The sequence below is a fragment of the Homo sapiens genome, chromosome 7 (genome assembly GCF_000001405.40).
Source record: "Homo sapiens chromosome 7, GRCh38.p14 Primary Assembly".
Taxonomy (NCBI): Eukaryota; Metazoa; Chordata; class Mammalia; order Primates; family Hominidae; genus Homo; species Homo sapiens.
The window spans coordinates 47,439,232-47,458,056 of record NC_000007.14 but is presented as its reverse complement, the minus strand read 5'-3'; the positions used below and the strand labels follow the sequence as shown (position 1 = coordinate 47,458,056).

Here is an 18,825-nt window from a genome sequence, read left to right as displayed (position 1 = left end):
ACGTACTGTCTCAATAGGTTTTAGGATTGACCTGAGCAGATATACTTCCTTTTTTTGGTGCCTCAGACTATGTCCTCTTCCCAGAGTCTCCTGATAGGCTCAAGCTTCTGCTTGTGAGCTGCTAGGAGCAAGTTCAGGGTGCACCTGAGGACAGTGCTGGGTCCCTGTCATTGTCCCTGTTTTTACAGATGAGGACACTGAGGCGACAGGGCTCACTGACTACCCAGAGTAACCTGTCTGTAGGGCAGAGCTAGGATTTGAGTCAGGCTCCCTGCCTCCAAGTCCTTTCCCATGGTCCTTCAACTGTAATACGCTCTGCCTCTGCAGAAAGGATGAGTGGTGGTAGATGGATGGAGGGCACCATAGTGTGTAGTGGTTGGAGGGGACTGACTTGGAGCTCTATAGAAATAGGGAGCATTCTAGGTGCTTGAGTGGCAGGAAACCATGGTGGTGATGGGTTTTTGATAGCTTGGGTTTCAGAAGTGGTAACGAAGTTAATTTAGTGGAGAAAGTGGGAAGATGAAAGGGAGAGTGATTAGGAGGAGTGGCCTCTTGGAGGCTGTTGAAGCTATTTGGAGTGAGAAGGGCCTGTCTCTGAGATAGGTTGCCTATCCATGACGTGTGTGGAAGTGGGGAGGAGCTGTAGGCCCTGGCCTAGAGCACTGATCAGGTCAATTAGATATCAAGGGCATCATTTCCACACCTATAAAAAGAGAACATTTTAGTGAGGAATTGAGTGAGATCACTCACACATCCCCACTCCATCTTCAGTGGAATTACCCAGCTAGCTTAGAATGAACCATGGTGGCAGTATTTACGCCACAGGAATGGACAGAGGATACATCGAGGTGGTTGCCTCTCCCCTCCCCTCCCCTCCCCTCCCTTCCCCTCCCCTCTCTTCCCCTCCCCTCCCCTCCCCTCCTCCCCTCCCCTCCCCTCCCCTCCCCTTTACCAGCACACCTCCAGGGATAATGATATGGGAAGAATTGAGCCCACACTGAATATTTTAAAAGACATTTATAAAGAGAGATTATCATTTTCTTAAAAGAAAGGGGTAAGGTAGGGAGAAAGTTACTATGATACTGAATTGTCCTACACAATGGGAGTCCTTGGAAGACAGTCTCGTTAATGTCATTCACTAATACTCATAACCTTCAAAAGGGCTGAGAAACACTCAAGGAGGAAGAGCTGAAAGCGTCCTTAAGGAATGGGGACCTGTTGTTACCCAGCTGGTTCTCACTGTTGGAGCTCCAGATGTGGAGGGGGTTGGCTGAGGTGAGCAGCAGGTGTGGGGCAGCGAATGTCTCGTGGGCTGTGTTGTGTGTGTGCTTGCCGGGCCTGCACCTATACGTGCTGGTCCTTGAGCGTTCCCTGTTGCTGTCTCAGCATCATTTACCTCCTCAGCTTCAGGGGACCTGGGTCTGTTGGCCTTGTCTTCCTTCTCCTCACATCCTGAATGGATGCCCTCCTGGCCTCCGTTGATTGCCCCAATAGTAATAATGTAATATACTAGTAAAAGCTGGCACGTGTTGAGCATGTGTGGTGTTCCAGGCACAGTATTAAGCACTTTGCATGCTTACCTTACTTGATCTTCCTAGAACTCTGCATTATGTGCCATTTCCACCCCCATTCCCCAGGTGGGGAATCTGAGGCTTCTAGAGGACGAATATCACGGGGTTGCTGGTGAATGTTTAATAGAGGTTTTCCAGGTAAAAGCTCGGTCGGCAGTGTTTGCTGATTTCTTTGGTATAAATACTCCCCCCATTGCTGATTTCAACCTCCGACCTGATGTCTGGGAAGTGCACCCTGGGCTCCTGGAGCCTGCTGGAGCCACTCCTGATGCCACTAACAGATGAGGTCCAGGTCAGCAGCTGTCTGCTCTTGGGCCTGACATTTCCACCTATGTCGTCCACTGCCCAGTGTTCCCCTTATATTAATCTTGCTGCTGCTACTACCACTAAACCTTGTTAAAAACAATTGAGATTGTGTCACTCCCCTATGCAGAAACTTCTGACACCTTTCATCGTCATGGATTCATCATCTGGCATTTGGGCTCCTTGAGCCCGGGCTTGAGCCTCTTTCTCATGCATCCTGTGAGCATGGCGTGTGTCACTCCTGGCTGCCCCACCCACCACACGCAGTGTGCCTCCATTTCTCTGCCCAGACTCTGTCCTCTGAAGGAATTTGCTCCTCCTGCCCCACCTCTGCCACAGGCGCCCACTTTGTATCAGATGCTTTCTAGCCATCCTGGCCTATCCCAAGAGCTGCCCTGATGGATCTGCAAAGTGGCCGTGGTTTCTAGAGCTGGAGACGAGCTCTTCTTCTCCCAGGTGCCCATCGCCGCCACCTCTGGCACTGCCTTCTCTCTCCTTTATGGGGTCTTAAATGTGTACTTATCCAGCACCTCCAGGACAGGATTCTCATCCATTCAGTTTTCAGTCCATCCTGGTCTTTCCCCTCTGTCACACCTGCATTCTCCCTGCAGTGCCTGAAATGGGCTAGCCCTCCTGCAAATACTTGTTTGCATTTGTGGATATGAAAGGGAAGCAGGGCTGCTCAGAGCCCTCTCTGCTTGTTGTTTCCAGGGTTATCCATATGAATCTGATTATTGTGGGATAAACTCCAGGTTAAGGCTGCTCTGTCAGTGTCAGTGCAATTCATTAGCTCTTCATTCTAAAGCAAAAGCCCTGCTGTGCCCTTCTGGGTGTGGAGGCAGGTATGGTCCTGGTCTGAGTTGGGGTGATCCTCTCAGCATTCTCTGGGCAGCCCCTTTGCCCATCAGAGTTGGCCAGGCTGGGGTGGGTGAATTAGGCCCTTCCCTCAGCCTTGCAAACATTGAGCTATTGTATGGAACCAGCTGGCTGCAGGGCCAGAGACCTATCTCTGTGGCCCATGGTGGTCAGCATCTGTGGGTCTTGCCCCCGTCAGCACCCCCGACATCCCATGTGGACAGGACCAGGTATCTGTATGCTGGGGGTTTGGTGGGGCTGTCCTTGGGATGCCTGTGCTGTGCCCTGAGGGGCTGGTTTCCAGGCTCTCTGCAGGGGGATCTGTGTGAGTTTGGGTGGGACATCTAACAGGACAGAACGCAGCTCTGCAGGGCATACTCCAGAGTGGACTCAGCATACATAACCCCTCCCACCTGCTGCAGGGCACTTTCAGACTCCGGAGATGACTGACATTAACACGGGCTCATTAACAATGTTGTCACCTTCTAGAGAAGGCACTTCCCTCCCAGGCCGCCCTTGCTAACTTGCTCGCCTATGGATGGGAGCCCCCTGCCTGGCTCTGCCTGGCTGGCCGCTGCCTGCAGTTGAGGACACTCCCATTGGGGGTACTTTGAGAGAGCTGGCTCTCTAGGGCTCGGCCTGTTTTCTGTCACCATGAAGTAAGGAATAAACTGGCCTGTCCTCAGGGTGCCACACCCTGCCCAGCTGTTGCCCCCCCAGAGCAGCCCCTCCCCATGGCCTTTCCTCCATTGTAAAATGCGGGAGTTGGACTGGAAACAACACATGCAACCCTCCTCTCTCCCCCAGGGCTGATGATGAGTGCTGCTGGCTTGGGCTTGGTGCCTTGAGGCATCTTCTTAGTCCCCACAGAGATCCTGGGAGGCTGGTGGTGTTGTCAGCTAGTTTCACAGAGGTGGAAACCAATGCTCGGAGGAGTTAAAGTCCTGTTTAGTGTCTCCGGGTCTGATGACTGTGGCCAGTAAAGGGACAGGTGGTCCTATTTTGACCCCCTGCCGTCACTGCTGTGTCTGCCCCTGCCAAATGGTGGGCAGGTGGCAGGAAGCGCAGGCTGCCTTGTGGAGCTGAGCCTGGTCTGAGCAGTGCACCCCTGGCTAGTTATAAACTGGGGCCCCCTGTTTGTGTTCAGCCTGGAAGGAGACACCACGTGGTTTCCAGTGGAATGGGCGCCCCCAGAACACCCTGCCCACTGATAGGGTTATGCTGGGGGCCCAATGAGGCCCTCCCCACCTCCCCTCCCTTGGTCCACTTTTCTATGTGAAGAAATGTTTTCGTTATGAAATAAGTGATAAAAATAAAAGAATGTAAGTGCATGTAAGATGTTACAAAAAAGCACACACAAATCTCCCTGTCAGTTAAAGGGACGTGACTGACCATGTAGTCATGAGATCAGTGAGATCAGTTTAAACAGCTGCCTGGGTGAGTCTAACAGCTGAGGACACGATGTGGCCCGGGCTGGCCACCCTTCCTCTTAGCTCTGAGTGCTAAGTGAGGAAATAAACCCGCCTCGGGCAGGTCCGGGACTCTATGTCACCAAGATCTGCCGTGTATCCGGCCTCCATCTCCCGTTTTGTAACTCAGAACCGTCTGGTGCCTCATTCCCATAACTGAGGTTTCGCTGCATACCTTTCCTTCTCTCTGGCCTGGCCACTCTTGTCTTTAACCCTGTTTTTGTGCTTGTTTATTGGTTTGGTTTTTATTTTAAAAATTTTATTTAGTTATGTTGAATTCATTCGATGAGTCATCTCAAATTCTATTTGGAATGAAGTGGAGCAAAAATGAACTAAGGAAGGAAGTGGTAAAGGAGAGAATGGGGTTGGGGGAGAGGAAGGAAAGAGGGAGGGAGGAAGGCCAGTGGGCATCAGGCATCTGTTACCTGGGATACAGAGGTGAGTAACCTGCCCTCCCAGCAGCTCGAAGTAGGTTTTGTTTTTCCTGGGGGAACTTTTGAGAGGCGGTTCTCCCTAGTGGCTAGTCCCCAGGAAGGCACAGCCACTCAGCTTCCTGGTCAGAAGGCTCTCCCGGAGAGCGCTGTTCTTGTTCCTGTCCCTCAGGCCCTTGGCAGGCTGGCCCTCGGCAGGCTGGCCCTCAGCCCCGGGCGGACATTGTCCTGTGAGCTCCATGCCTGCGTGCTCACCGTGGGGCCGGGCACACCTGCCAGCTGCTCCTGGCTGTGGTTCTGGGGACTCCCACACTCACCAGGCTCTCCCACCTGGTGGGCTATTCCAGCTGCCTCCTTTATGCCCAGAGCTGCCGAGACATTAACACGAAGAGGGGTGTGCTTGACTAAAGCAGGGGAAGGAGCGAAACGTAGGAGGAGCTGTTTCTGGAAGGGAAAAGCAGCCCTGGCCGGTGGTCCCTGCCCAGGCCCAGCACAGTAAGTTCCCAACTCCCCACGTGCCGCCTCTCGGCTGGGCTGGCACTGGGCACTTTGTCTGTCCCTGGCCACCCTCCTCTGTGGCCTCCGGTACTGGCTGCTTTGCAGTGAAGGGGCATTTCCAAGTCATTTTTCCCCTTTCACTTCAATGCTGCAGATGTTCGGTGGGACCTTGTGTCCTAAGAACCATCCGCCCCATCTGCCCCTTCTTGGGAAACTTATTTGTGAGAAGAGCAAAGGGGAGCTTCCGACTTCTTTGGAAATGCTGACATCTCTGTGTCCTCCCTGAGTGTTGCTTACCTCTCCCTGCTGCCAGTCTTCCTGAGCTGCCTCCTTCCATATGGTTCCAAACCAGCCTGAGCTCCTGGCCAGGGAGGCAGGATCCTGTGACTATTTCGTTACAAATAAATAGAGATACAATCTTAGTCTGTTGTTTCTCATAGTTGAACATGAAGGTAAAATGACAAGATGACTTTATTTTAGTTTCCCACCCTCCATGGGGTGTACTTTCTCTGGCAGTTCTTAACGATTGCTGCTTATGTTTAAAAGCATTAAGCAGAAAATCAAGTTGGGCAATCCTGACAATTAATTGGTTCCTGGTATTCTTGTTCTGGAAGGGAAAAAAATGTCTTATTAACTGTGTGGCTTTGGGAAAATCACTTACCCTCTCTGAGCATTGTTTCTCCTACTGTTAAATGGGCATTGTGGTCACAGCTGGTTTTGTGATCTAAGGGGGATCCTAATAACTTGTGGATAAAGTGCATTTCCAGGGCCTCACAGAGGCCTGACACAGAAATAAGATGATGGAATAAGTAGCTAATATTTCTTTGGCACTTATTACTGGCCAGGCACTGTTCTAAGCCCTATGTTTATGTTTCCTTATTTAATCCTTCCAAGAATGCTGTTTCTGTCTCCCTTTTCCAGATGAGAAAACTGAGTCACACAGAGGGCAAGTAAATTCCCAAGATCAGACGGCTTACTCGAGCAGTAGAGCTGGCTGCCTACCCAGGCATTAGTATTACAAAGAGTGTGTGCTGAACCCCCAAGTCGTATGTGCTGGGTGGTGGAGGAATCAATGAAGGATGAACAAATAAATGCCTTGAAATTTGCCAGCTGAATGTTGTTCAGGTTGTTGCCTTTGAAAAAGATTTTACATTTATTTCTTCTCCATTTGCTTGGTGAAACAAAAACAGAATGTGCAGAGGTGTCTCAGCCCAACCTGTTTAATTGTCCTCACCTCACACATGGCCCGGCAGCTGTGATCTGTGTCTCTCGTCACCGGGCTGTTCATAGTCCTGCTTCCTTGTGGATTTATCCGTGGCTTTTGTTTCTTTTGATTTATTTATTTATTGGAGATGGAGTCTCGCTCTGTTGCCCAGGCTGGAGTGCAGTGGCACCATCTCGGCTCACTGCAATCTCCACCTCCTGGGTTTGAGCGATTTTCCTGCCTTAGCCTCTGGAGTACCTGGGACTACAGCCACATACCACCACGCCCGGCTAATTTTTTGTATTTTTAGTAGAGACAGGATTTCGCCATGTTGGCCAGGTTGGTCTCGAACTCCTGGCCTCAAGTGATCCATTTGCCTCCACCTCCCAAAATGCTGGGATTACAGACGTGAGCCACTGTGCCTGGCCTTTTGTTTCTTTTTACAGAGCTGTTTACACTGCTAGTTTTCAGGGCTGGTCAGGCTGCTAGGAGCAGCGCACAGGCCCTGGGGACACCCAGGGGAGCTGATATTCTCTTTGCAGGCTTAGGCCTTGCTGGGATTCCTAACATGACGTCCATAAAAGGGCTGCTTTTTCTTATTTTTTAGACAGCGTCTCAGGCTGGAGTGCAATGACATGATCTTGGCTCACTGCAACCTCCACCTCCTGGGTTCAAACAATCCTCCTGCCTCAGTCACCCAAGTAGCTGGGTTTACAGGCACCTGCCACCACACCTGGCTAATTTTTGTATTTTTAGTAGAGACGGGGTTTCATCACGTTGGCCAGGCTGGTCTTGAACTCCTGACCTTGTGATCCCCTGCCTTGGCCTCCCAAAGTGCTGGGATTACAGGTGTGAGCCACCATGCCCTGCCAAGGGCTTCTTTTCTTTCCTCTTCACCAAAAGCCAGTGAGGACAAGGAGAGGCAGGGAACGGGGTGCCATGTTTAACCTATCCTGGCACTGCCCTGCACCCATATTGGCCCCTGGGTAAGCAGGAGTGAGGGCCAGTGCTAGTTACTGCTTCTTTGGCCAGCCTGGGCTGTAGCTAGAGGCCTGGCAGATAGTGGAGACCTGCTTTCTGCCAGTGGTCAGAGCCCCCCTGGGAAGAGGGATGGTCACCTCTGCTCCAGGGTCTTGGGTCTTAGGGAGGCAGAGATGCTAAGGGGACTGCTTCTTAAAGGGTAGTCTTGGGGAATTATGTGAGAAAACACTTAAAAAATGTGTATTACCGTTTTCAGTACTTGAGTAGGCACAGGGTACTGAGGTCAGCTCAGTGGGTGAGAAAAATCCACAGTTTATAGTCATGTGTATCCAAGTCACACTGTTAGCTTTTACCGAGCTGTCAAGCTGATGCTTAACCACATTGCTATTCTGTGGGCACTGTCTTCCTAAATAGGCCCCAGTTATTCCATGTTATGACCTTGGGAAGGAGCAGATGTCACTGCTTTTCATCCTATTCTTCTTTTAGATAAGCCTGTTAAAGTCAATGGGTACATTTATTTTTGTTAACCCAAAACTAAAGCTAACTAGCTGTCTGTTATTGAAATCTAATAACAGCATCCTCATGCCTCTTCAGATGGCCAGATGACTCCACAGCCACTTTGGGATTAGTGGTTCGTTTCTTCCTTTCTTCATTCTACAGACTGCTGTGCTGGGTGGCTATTGTGTGCAGAGTGCGGCCCCAGAGGCTAGAGATACCTCTGGGAGCTAGACTGCCAGTGCCTCTGCTGGATCCGCATGGGAGGGGGCTGTAGAGCTCAGACGAGAATTCACAGTTAGTTGTTTTCTTGCAGTTGTGGTCGGCACAGTAAAGTAGACCAGGGCTGGGCGTGGTGGCTCACGCCTGTAATCCTAACACTTTGGGAGGCCGAGGCGGGCATATCACCTGAGGTCAGGAGTTCAAGACCAGCCTGGCCAACATGGTGAAACCCCATCTCTACTAAAAATACAAAAATTAGCCGGGTGTGGTGGCGGGCGCCTGTAATCCCAACTACTGGAGGCTGAGGCAGGAGAATCACTTGAACCCGGCAGATGGAGGTTGCAGTGAGCCAAGATCACCCCACTGCACTCCAGCCTGGGCAACAGAGTGAGACCCTGTCTCAAACAAACAAACAAAAACAAAACAAAAAGGAGACCAAAGTAGAAAGGAACATATGACTCAGGTCGGGTAGGGAGATCAGATTATGCTTTGCTGGAAGTTGCCATCTGAGCCAAGTGCTTGAGAAATCACAGGAGTTAACCAGGTAAAGCTGGGATACATGAATGAGGAGCATTCTAAACTGTGTGGTATGTGCAAAGAACCTGGGGCAGGAGGAAGCACAGCAGGTAAGGTAGGGACAGGGAGTGAGGGAGGCACATGAGGAGGCAGGGGCTGGCTCACCCAGGGCTCTGAGGACCAGGCTGAGCACCTGCCTTTCACCCCATGGCAATGGGACGTCAGTGAAGGATGCTCCATTTGAAATGCCGCACTAGCATTAATTGCACGACATAGGCTTGGTTTGCTGCAGCTGACTCTACTCTTCACACTGCCTTCCACCTGCAGGATACGCACCCGTGCCAGGCGCACAGTGCTGAACGTCGAGCAGTGACTTCCCTGGGCAGTAGAGATTCTGTACAGTTTAACTGGATGTATCGGCAACATACAGTGCAAGGCTCAGGGACAATCTGCAGTGAGCAAGGCTGGCTTGTTAGTCTCAGGCAGGCATTGGACATTTTTGTCTTTATTCTGTGAACAGTCTCACAAGGGAGACATCATTGTCCCGCTCCACAGATGGGGTCACTGAGGCTCATGAGTGCCCTGGCCCAAGATTCTGCAGCTGGCAGGTGGTGTGGGACTCACACCCAGGTCTGTCTGATTTCAGATTTCATTACTATACTGTGAGGTTTTGGAAACTGTTGATTTGTTCAAACAAGCAGTCGAAGGACATAGGTTAAAAAAGAACCAAATTCTGGCTGGGAGCGGTGGCTTACGCCTGCAATCCCAGCATTGGAAGCCGAGGTGGGTGGATTGCCTGAGGTCAGGAGTTCGAGAGCAGCCTGGCCAACATGGTGAAGCCCTGTCTCTACTAAAAATACAAAAATTAGCCAGGTGTGTTGGTGGGTGCTTATAATCCTAGCTACTCGGGAGGCTGAAGCAGGACAATCGCTTGAACCCAGGAGGCAGAGGTTGCAGTGAGCCGAGATCGTGCCACTCCATTCCAGCCTGGGTGGCAGAGTGAGACTCTGTCTCAAAAAAAAAAAAAAAAAAAAATCGAATTCCCACCAGAGTTGGGCTCTCATTGATTACAAGCTTGTCTCGAAATTAACCTTCCTGTCAGGTGGGGGCTCCCAGATCCTCAGCTGTGGAGAGGAACATCAAACCAGCTGGGATCCCACCCCACCTGGGGAGGATCCCATGTCTCCCTGGGACGTCGTGGACTTCAAGGAAGTTTTGTTGCAGAGGGAATGGGGCCTGTGTCTTTCACTCTTCCCTCCTCCCTGTGCTCCCCCTCTGCATGCCCCACATGGGTGAGTGCAGAGGAGGCTGCTGGCTTTCTGGTGAGTGTGCTTACTCCTGCCCGGGTGGTGGCCATGGTGTTGATGTGACAGCCAAGGGAGCAGCTCCAGGGATGGCTGCTCTGGAAATGTGCTTTGGCAGTGGCCTTGGGGAATCTCCAGTGGCCCTTTCAGTCCCAGCAGTCCACAGCCTCCCCTCCTTCTGCCAGGGCCCCCAGCCTCCTGCTGTCTTCTCTGCCTTCTTTAGGTGGATGTGCTTGGCTCTTCCCTTGTTCTGCTCCCAGATGTGCAGAAAGACTCTTTGAAGCTCAGGTCTTCCTTCTGATCAGGGCTGTCCTCCTGAGCAAGAAGCCGCAGTTCACAGTGGAAAGCATGGTTCTCATAGAGATACTAGAGCGAGCATCATCACATGTTCTAGAGTTGTCCGCTGGTCTTGGCAAATGGCGCGTGGTGGGGTGGGGCGCTGTGGGATGGGATGAGGCTTTAGGGTAGGGTCTTTAGGGTGAAGCCTAGGGTGTGCTAGGATAGCGCACTGCAGGATGGCGCCCTGCAGGAGGGCACAGCGGGACTGAGAACTGTAGGGTCACTGCAGGACCATGTGCCATAGGGCCACTGTGAAAAGCAGGTTTGCCCTAGTGTGCCATGCGTGGATTGCTAACTCCAAGGTGAGGTCGGGACATGAGCGCACAGTCCTGGAAAGAGGAGGGAGATGAGGCCTAGGCGAGTGGAGGACCTTTCCTGAGGCTGCAGGTGCCAAGCGGTGGACCCTTAACTTGGACCCAGACTGCCTGATGTGGAGCCTGTGTGCTTTGCCATAAGGCTAGGCTACTTTCTCCCAAAAGAGGTGTTTTTGCCTTCCTGCCGCTTAGTCTGCTCTCGCCCACTGCTGTGACACACTAGGAAGTGCTCTGTCCTGGGCAACAGAGCAAGACTCCATCTCAAAAACAAACAAACAAACAAACAAACAAACAAACAAACAAACATATGTGGAACCAGAATGACCCTCCAGGCAGTGCATCTAATTTTTTATCTGAGGAATGCCTCTCCTCACTTTTCACTCACTGACTCAGGGAGTCCAGGACTGGGATGACCTCCAAGTGTTTGATCCACAGCTGTCATTTTACCGGAAGAGAAAGGGAGTTTAGTGACCTCATTGACCTCATTGAGCCCATGGGGCCAGTTTGTCACGTGGCCAGGATGAGCTCCAGGACCTGTAGAAGGAAAATGCTTCTAAAGAGCAGTCTGGCCGGGCACGGAAGCTCATGCCTGTGATCCCAGCACTCTGGGAGACCGAGGCCAGTGGATTGCTTGAGCGTCAGAGCAGCCTGGACAACATGGCGAGACCCCCATCTCTACAAAAAAAAAACAAAAATTAGCCGTATTTGGTGGTACATGCATGTAGTCCCAGCTACTTGAGAGGATGAGGTGGGAGGATGATCTGAGCCCGAGAAGTCACTGAGAGGCTGCAGTCAGCCGTGATCATGCCACTGCACTCCAGCCTGGGCGACAGTGAGACTCAAAAAAAAAAAAAAAAAAAAAAAAAGGCAGCCTGGAACAGGGCGGTCTTTGCAGGCTTACCTTTTGCAGGTTTAACCTTAACCACAGATTCTACCTGGGCCTCCCTTTTCTCTTTCTCTTATTTGGGTGTTGAAGGCTGTGATAAGAGCATGCCAACAGGGACACAGGTGAGGGAGGCATGGGCTGGGCAGAGGCTGGGTGGGAGGCTTTGCTGTCTGGGTTTTTTCACCCTGGAAAACAAGAGAACAAAAGAAGCAACTTGTGTTTCTATCTCATGGAAACTCTAATCACTAAGGGCTTGGATTTGATTGACATTGGCGATAGGGTCCACAAGGAAACCACAGCTTGGGAAGGCTTCTGAGGACGTGAGCAGGCAGCTCTCTTTTCAAAACACCTAGAGAGTGGAACCTTGCCTCTATTAAAAATACAAAAAAATTAGCTGGGCATGGTAGCAGGCACCTGTAGTCCCAGCTACTTGGGAGGCTGAGGCAGGAGAATGGCATGAACCTGGGAGGTGGAGCTTGCAGTGAGCTGAGATCGTGCCACTGCACTCCAGCCTGTGCAACAGCAAGACTCTATCTCAAAACAAAACAAAACAAAAGAAAAAAACACCTAGAGAGTGAGTTTGCAACACAGATTTGCAGGACTGGTGCCTACAAGTAGAGAGAGTTTTTTAAACCTTATATGAGGTTAGGATTTCGGGTTTCTCAGGAGCCAGGTTTAATATAACCTATAGCAAGTTAGTTTCTCAGTCATCCTTCAGTCATGAAATGCATTATGGTGCACACACAGGGTTTAGATTTGTGCAACCCAAGTGTAGGTGTATTGTTTACTTTCAAATAAAGACTTACAGTGACATTGTATCCCTGAGTCTCCTCTTGACAAGCACAGTATTTCAGAAACTCTTGGCGGCAGTTCCAGTTCAGTATGGGGCCTGGTTCTCATTTTAGTCCAAGTCAAAGCAGCTGAGGGGGTTCTACCCCAGTGTGTCAGGGGGACCTGTCATAGGCATGTCCTCTACTTGGTTCCAGATTTAACCCCTGAATGATTCAGGGGGATTTTAGTCACATGAGATCTCAGACGCTGACTTGGAAGTGATGGAAGGGCCATAGTTTCTCTGCCCTTTTTGGCACGGGGCTAGAACAGCTCCCCCAAGCAAGAGTCTTTTATCCTCACTGATGTTCATGTGATTCAGGGGCAGCCTGTGCAGGAGAGGGTGTGGACCACCTGAAAGCCAGGAGATGGAAGGAGAACAGAGTTTTGGTGTCAGAAGGTGCTACTGCAGCTTAACTGTGGGATTCCAACACGTCCGCCCACCAAATCCTCATTTCCTCATCACCATCCCTATGTTACCAACCTGTAACATGTAACATAGGGGTGGTGATGTCTGCTTACTGGGGTTTCTGCTGGGCTCCGTGCAATGCTCTTCAGGGTTGTGCTATGGAAGCTGCTGAGCACCACATGCCTTGGAGGTGGCCAGACCTGTGTTTGCACATCTGGAGGCATGAGGTGGACAGATGCGGGTCTGGGGCTGGGGATTTGAGTGGGTGTCAAGCTGTCTGTGTTTTTGGAGGGTGGCCCTGAGCTGTGCTGGGTTTCTCGCCTCGATTTTAAGTGGATGTAGACTTACATAGAAAATTGGGTATGTTGGGGGACGGGCTGAATTCCTCCTTCCTGCCCCTCTTCCCAATACAGAGGTTAAGGAAGGGGTGTCTCTGGGCAATGCTGGGACACTTTACAGGAACCCTGCATTTCCGAACACTTCATGTAAGCAACTTTGTGCAATTCAACACTTTCTGACTTTTCACCAGCTCAGGTGCTGGGGCCTCCCTGTGGTGATAGCACAGATTACAGTTTCCTCCATTGGCCTTGACCTTAGAAATTATATAACTATTGGTTTAAAAGGTTTTTTTTGTTTGTTTTTTTGGCAGTGGTTGCAATTTGTATGGTTTCGGGGTTTGAACATTGGAGTTACTGTATCGAGGCCTATAATGCTGAATTGGATTCAGAGACTATTGGATTGAGAAGATCCCGTGGGTCTGTCTGACCTGCCCTTCTCACTCTGCAGCTGAGGAAATGGGCCCTGGGTTCCGTCAGGGACAGCAGAGTCCTCATGCCTTCTGGGACCCTTCCCTCCTTCCCTCCTGCCGTCAGGGCCCCGCCTGAGGGACGGTGACACTCCTACCCCATCACGTTGGTGCCGGCAGTGAGCAGTCACGTATTTGTGTGGTTGTCATCTTGGAATGATGTGTCATGTGAGAGTTAAATAGTTTTGCCCCATGAGTTATATAATGCTGTTTATATGTTAAGTTGCGTGCCAGTCTTTCACGGTCAAATGATAAGCGTGACATAGGGTCTGAAGCGACAGCCCACTTGTAGGAACTGGGCCAGTGTACTCCAGCATGGCATTGCAATGGGAGTCACTGTATTTTGGATGCGTGGTCTGGTGAAGATGTGGGACACATATAGTCAGATCCTGGTGGGTTCATGTAAGACCCAGGACCATGGTCGATCAAACTCCTTGCTGTTCTCCCCTGAGATGTTGGCTTATTGAATACTTTTTTGAATTAAATGGGACCCTGGTTAAGCTGAGTTTCCCCATAATGAGATTGGCTCTATTAGGATTGCATCTGAGCTGCTTGAATTTGAGTGTTACATGTACAGATTGTATGAATTAACCTAAACGGGTTTTTGATGTATCATTTCCTTACCTTTTCGGAGACTTCATTTTAGTGCATTCAGTTTACTCTGGGATTGTATTCTAAATACTTTTTTTTTGTTGTTTATTTGTTTGGGACAGAGTCTTGCTCTGTTGCCCAGGCTGGAGTGCAGTGGCACGATCTTGGCTCACTGCAACCTCCTCCTCCCAGGTTCAAGTGATTCTTGTGCCTCAGCCTCCCGAGTAGCTAGGATTACAGGTGTGCGCCACCACGCAGGCTAATTTTTGTATTTTTAGTAGAGACGTGGTTTCACCATGTTGGCCAGGGTGGTCTTGAACTCCTGGCTTCAAGTGATCTGCCCGCCTCGGCCTCTCAAAGTGCTGGGATTACAGGTGTGAGCCACTGTGCCCGGCCGTATTCTAAATACTTTTTATACACACTGACAAGTTGTCCTCTGAAATCTTGCATCTGTTTATATTTCATCAAAACTTTAAAAAATGTTTTCAAGATTTTTATTTTTGCTGCTCTACTAGGCAAAAGAGTAGTCTTCTGTTTTGTAGCTGTCTAGTCTGAGCTGTGAAAGGCTTTGGGTTAGGGCTTTGAGAAGATCAGAGGAACATGTTTGGAGCCTCCTGCAGCTTTGTGGGCATAGGGGATGAGCAGGGGGTGCAGCTCAGATGTCAGGGGTGGGCGGGGTCTGGAGACCACGGGACTTCACTTGACCAGGTCTGCCCAGCACGGGCAGTGGCCATGCGGTGCCAGGCTGGATTCCAAGCCATTGACAGAATTACCTCAGTGAATCCCTGGACAGCTCCATGAGACTGGCCCTGTCTGTTACTATTCTCACTTCAAAAGGCAGGAGACAAAGAAGTGGAGTGGCCAAGGGGCTTTCCCGGGAAAAACAATGAGGAGGTGGACCCAGGGCTGAGCTCACCGGCACCTTGGTGTAGAACTGAAGAGCACGCCCCTAGATCCTGCCCCTGTCTTGGGAGGCTGAGACGATGATCTCTGTGGTTTTGGAATTGGCGCTAGGCTTTGCATTGGTATGATTTCAGGAAAACATCTGTATTGTTGGTCTCCGAAATATACATAGAATTTGTTTTCTGTTCATTTCTTGCCTAAGGAGTCCAGGTGAGCTGCACCTGCCTGAGTGGGATCCCAGGTGTGATCGGGGGTGTTGATGCCTCTGATGGTGGTGTCTGTGGGCCTGCTTTGATCGGGGAGCAGGAGGAGTGCCGGAGGCTCTGTGTCCCCCCAACTCGGGGGTCTCTGGGCTCCTGTGTGCAGCATTACCTGGCTTGGGGCAGAAAGAGACTTTGAGGGAGCCCTGTAGTGGGTGTCTGGGTTTCCCCATTCACCTCTGCCATCTGACAAGATCGCTTCCCTCTTTGAGTCCCAATTTCCTCACTTCTGAAATATTGAAGAGCCTTCTTACTCACACAGTTGCTGGGCATTTTTCCTGAAATAGTAGATCTCTGTCACCATAGTATATAACAACCCTTACACACAAGGAAGAGTTATATAACTATAAAGTAATTATAACCCGAGTCTTTTCTCCCTGTTGAATAGGCTCTTTAAAAAAGAGTAGGTATGACTGAGAATTCCTGAAAGTCACTCATTAATTGGTTCTTTCAAGTAAATAATAGCAGCCATGATAGTCATAGCGCTGGTGTCATCTGGCACCTCCTGTGTTGGAGGGCAGGGCACTGTTTGCAGGCCAAGCGATGCCTACCTTGCCCTGACTGGAGGGTGGCCTCACTGGCTCCTGTGAAAGCCCGTCCTGATGCTGGTTAGTGGCACTGCGTCCTCTGGTGAGCTGAATCACACAACATGGTGTAGACCCTTCTGAGGTGATAAGGTGGGCTTGTAGTTACGATTGACTTGCTGTTTATGATTAAACTGTGGAACGGCTGTCATTGTTCCCTCTCAGTGGTGTCTGTGTCATGTAGACTGGCAGGAAAGGAAACTTCAAAATGACCCTTGTTTTGTTATTTGCAGGCTCCAGGGAGTTCCACGCTGTCCAGTTCTCTCTGCCGTGATAAACCTCTGCGGTGAGTGTCTGTGTGGGTCATGCATTCCTGTGTCTCTGGCTGTAGGTCAGCTCTCTACAGAGGAAACTTGGGCATGGCATCATTTTCTTCTGTAGAAATCATAATTTCTGCTTTGGTTGTAAACATTGCCAATCAAAGGTGATACAGGCCAGGTTTTCTGTCCGTTTCTAAATGCTGTGTCAGGGTCAGAAGCCCAGGTGGTAGAAACACCTGTGATTGTCTTTGAATAAATAATTGCACTGCTGAGGCCTGATTGTGCAAGTGTCACTTTTGGGGGAGACTCCAGGGTGTGCTGGCAAGAGCCCCTTTAGAGCAGATGAGGGGGGCCCTGAGCCAGCATCTTCTGGAGAGGCACTCACTGTGGATCCTCATGACCGTAGGAAGCGCTTTATTTCTGTTCTAACAGTGTTCAATACATTTGAATTGGAATGAAATCCATGTCTGATAAATAAGGTAGAGAAAACAAAATCCTTGGGAATTGTTTGGATGCTGATTTGAACAAATCAACCTTAAAAAATAAATGTATGGGCCGGGCACAGTGGCTCACACTTGTAATCCCAGCACTTTGGGAGGCTGAGGTGGGGAGACCACAAGGTCAGGAAATCGAGACCATCCTGGCCAACACAGTGAAACCCCATCTCTACTAAAAATACAAAATTAGCTGGGTGTGATAGCGCATGCCTGTAATCCCAGCTATTCGGGAGGCTGAGGCAGGAGAATCCCTTTAACCCAGGAGGCAGAGACTGCAGTAAGCCGAGATTGCGCCACTGCATTCCAGCCTGGCGACAGAGCGAGACTCTGTCTCGAAAAAATAAAAATAAATAAAAATAAAAATAAATGTATGGTATTGGATGTTTGATGTTATTATTTCTTTTTGAGGTGTGATAATGGCATTGTAGACATTTTAATCAAAAAGTGCCCTTATCTTTTAGAAATAAATTCTGCAAGATTTATAAATGAAATTACATAGTATCTGGGATTGCTTTAAAGCAATCAAAGTGGTGGAGGAGATTGCTGGAGATATTGATGGACAGAGGTTAGCTGTGTGTTGGTAATTTTGAAGTTAGGTGATGTGGGTACATGGAGGTTTGCAAAACCATTTTATATGGTTTTGAATTTTTCCAAAATTAAAAGAAAGAGAGAAACACATAGGAGTAGTAAAAATGAAAACCCCAAAGCTGGTGGCAGCACTTTGGAGGGACTTAAGGACACGTCCCGTGCACCCATGCCTCTGGCTTTACCTCATGGGGGCACCGATTGGGTTCAACCCCATCCCCTCTCCCTGGAACCTTTTCCACCTCCTCCTGGATACCACCCTCAGCCATAATGTTAGGAGCACTCCTGGGAGGGGCTCAGGCCTCCCTGGGGCCCACAGGGCTGGTGGAGAATCTGTGGTCTGTGGGAGGCCCTTGTCTCCAGTCACATTGGGTGCCTGACTCCACACTGCCAGTCCTGCCCAAGTCCTCAGCCTGCTGGCCATGACATGACCATTTCTGCCCTCTTCCCTCTTCCCTCCTCCACAGTCTTCATCTCACACTTGGGGGCCTGCCCTGGCCACCTGGGCACCTGGTTGGGTGGCCAGCCCCACATTCTACCCTGCATCCACCTGGCCTGTGGCTAGCTGGGTGGGGTCCCAGCGGGGCCCCATGGAGCTCTTAGCCTTCTGATAGGAGTCTGCTGAGTTGCTACTCAGTAGATGAAAGGCCGCTTTGATTATGCCCCAGCTGGTCCCCTCTCCACGTGAGGTCCTGCCTCCTTCTTGGGCCTGCAGGGTCCTCCACGACCATAGCTGGCCACCTCACCAGCCTCATCCTTGGCCGCACCTCCCCCAGGATGCCGCATACGGACACGAGGAGCTGCTTGCTGATGTTTGGCTTCTGCTCACACCATCTCCGCTTCCTCCTGGCCCCCTCCCGGTGCCCCCTCGTGCCGACCTTGACACCTCAGAGCAGGGTTGAGGCTCCCACTCCAGGAGTCCCGCCTGGAACCCTGTTCCTGCTCCCAGTGTAACCACAAAGAGTCCTTCCCGCCTTCGTGCTTTTGCATTTGAGCCCATGCGTCACTGCTCTGAGTTGCTTTCTCTCTGTGCGTTCCCTGACCGCAGCTTGCGGTACCCCGTCATGCCCTGCTAGGAAAATTCAATCTTGTGCCCCTCCCCACACTGCCCGCTGTTATGGGAACACAGCACAGAGGCTGCACACACTGTAAATTCCCGTAGCTGGCCGCCCAGGTGCTGATGTGAACACCCAGGGGATGAGTGTCCGTCGTCTTCACCTTTTTCCTAGAGGATGAATGTCTGCTGCCTCCTTACCCTGTTTCTGATCTGCCCACTGCTCTCTCGCAGGCCCGTCATCCTGAGTCCCACCATGGAGGAGGGCCATGGGCTGGACCTCACTTACATCACGGAGCGCATCATCGCTGTGTCCTTCCCTGCCGGCTGCTCTGAGGAGTCCTACCTGCACAACCTACAGGAGGTCACGCGCATGCTCAAGTCCAAGCACGGGGACAACTACCTGGTGAGCGGTGGGCGGCTCTGGGAGCCTTTGGGCAGGCTCTGCAGCAGGCACTGTGTAGGGATGGGCACTCACAGAACACTGGTTTACACATGAGGGAGAAGCTCAAGGGCCTGGGCTCACACAGCTGTCCGTGGCGCCTTCGTCCTCTGTCTCTCTGCTGCCACGCCTGGGGAGGAGACTTATGTGTCTCTGTAGGTAGCTTTCAGGGACACACGACTGCTGACCGCAGGGATGGCTGTTGCCTTGTCCTGCACT

At 50.8% G+C, this 18,825-nt stretch overlaps 1 protein-coding gene across 24 annotated transcripts in view, besides 1 other annotated feature; it reads left to right on the top strand.

Annotated features, from left to right (window-relative positions):
• TNS3 (tensin 3) overlaps window positions 1-18,825 on the top strand; it is a 307,433-nt gene that overhangs the window by 124,530 nt on the left and 164,078 nt on the right. For 23 of the 24 annotated variants that reach the window (XM_047420733.1, XM_047420729.1, NM_001410878.1 and 20 more), the window contains 2 exons: window positions 16,002-16,054; window positions 18,399-18,570. In XM_047420733.1, the coding sequence (XP_047276689.1) occupies window positions 18,421-18,570 (150 nt within the window). In that variant the 5' untranslated portion in view covers window positions 16,002-16,054; window positions 18,399-18,420. Of the gene's footprint in view, window positions 1-4,757; window positions 5,125-16,001; window positions 16,055-18,398; window positions 18,571-18,825 lie in introns of those variants that run through there. The other variant, XM_011515483.3, reaches the window with a different exon arrangement.
• Window positions 10,207-10,707: an enhancer, noted in NCBI's record as "H3K4me1 hESC enhancer chr7:47486948-47487448 (GRCh37/hg19 assembly coordinates)". NCBI's record gives its function as "activates a minimal SCP1, AML or CMV promoter by ChIP-STARR-seq in primed H9 embryonic stem cells {active_cell/tissue: H9 hESC(primed)}" and the evidence as "EXISTENCE:reporter gene assay evidence [ECO:0000049][PMID:30033119]".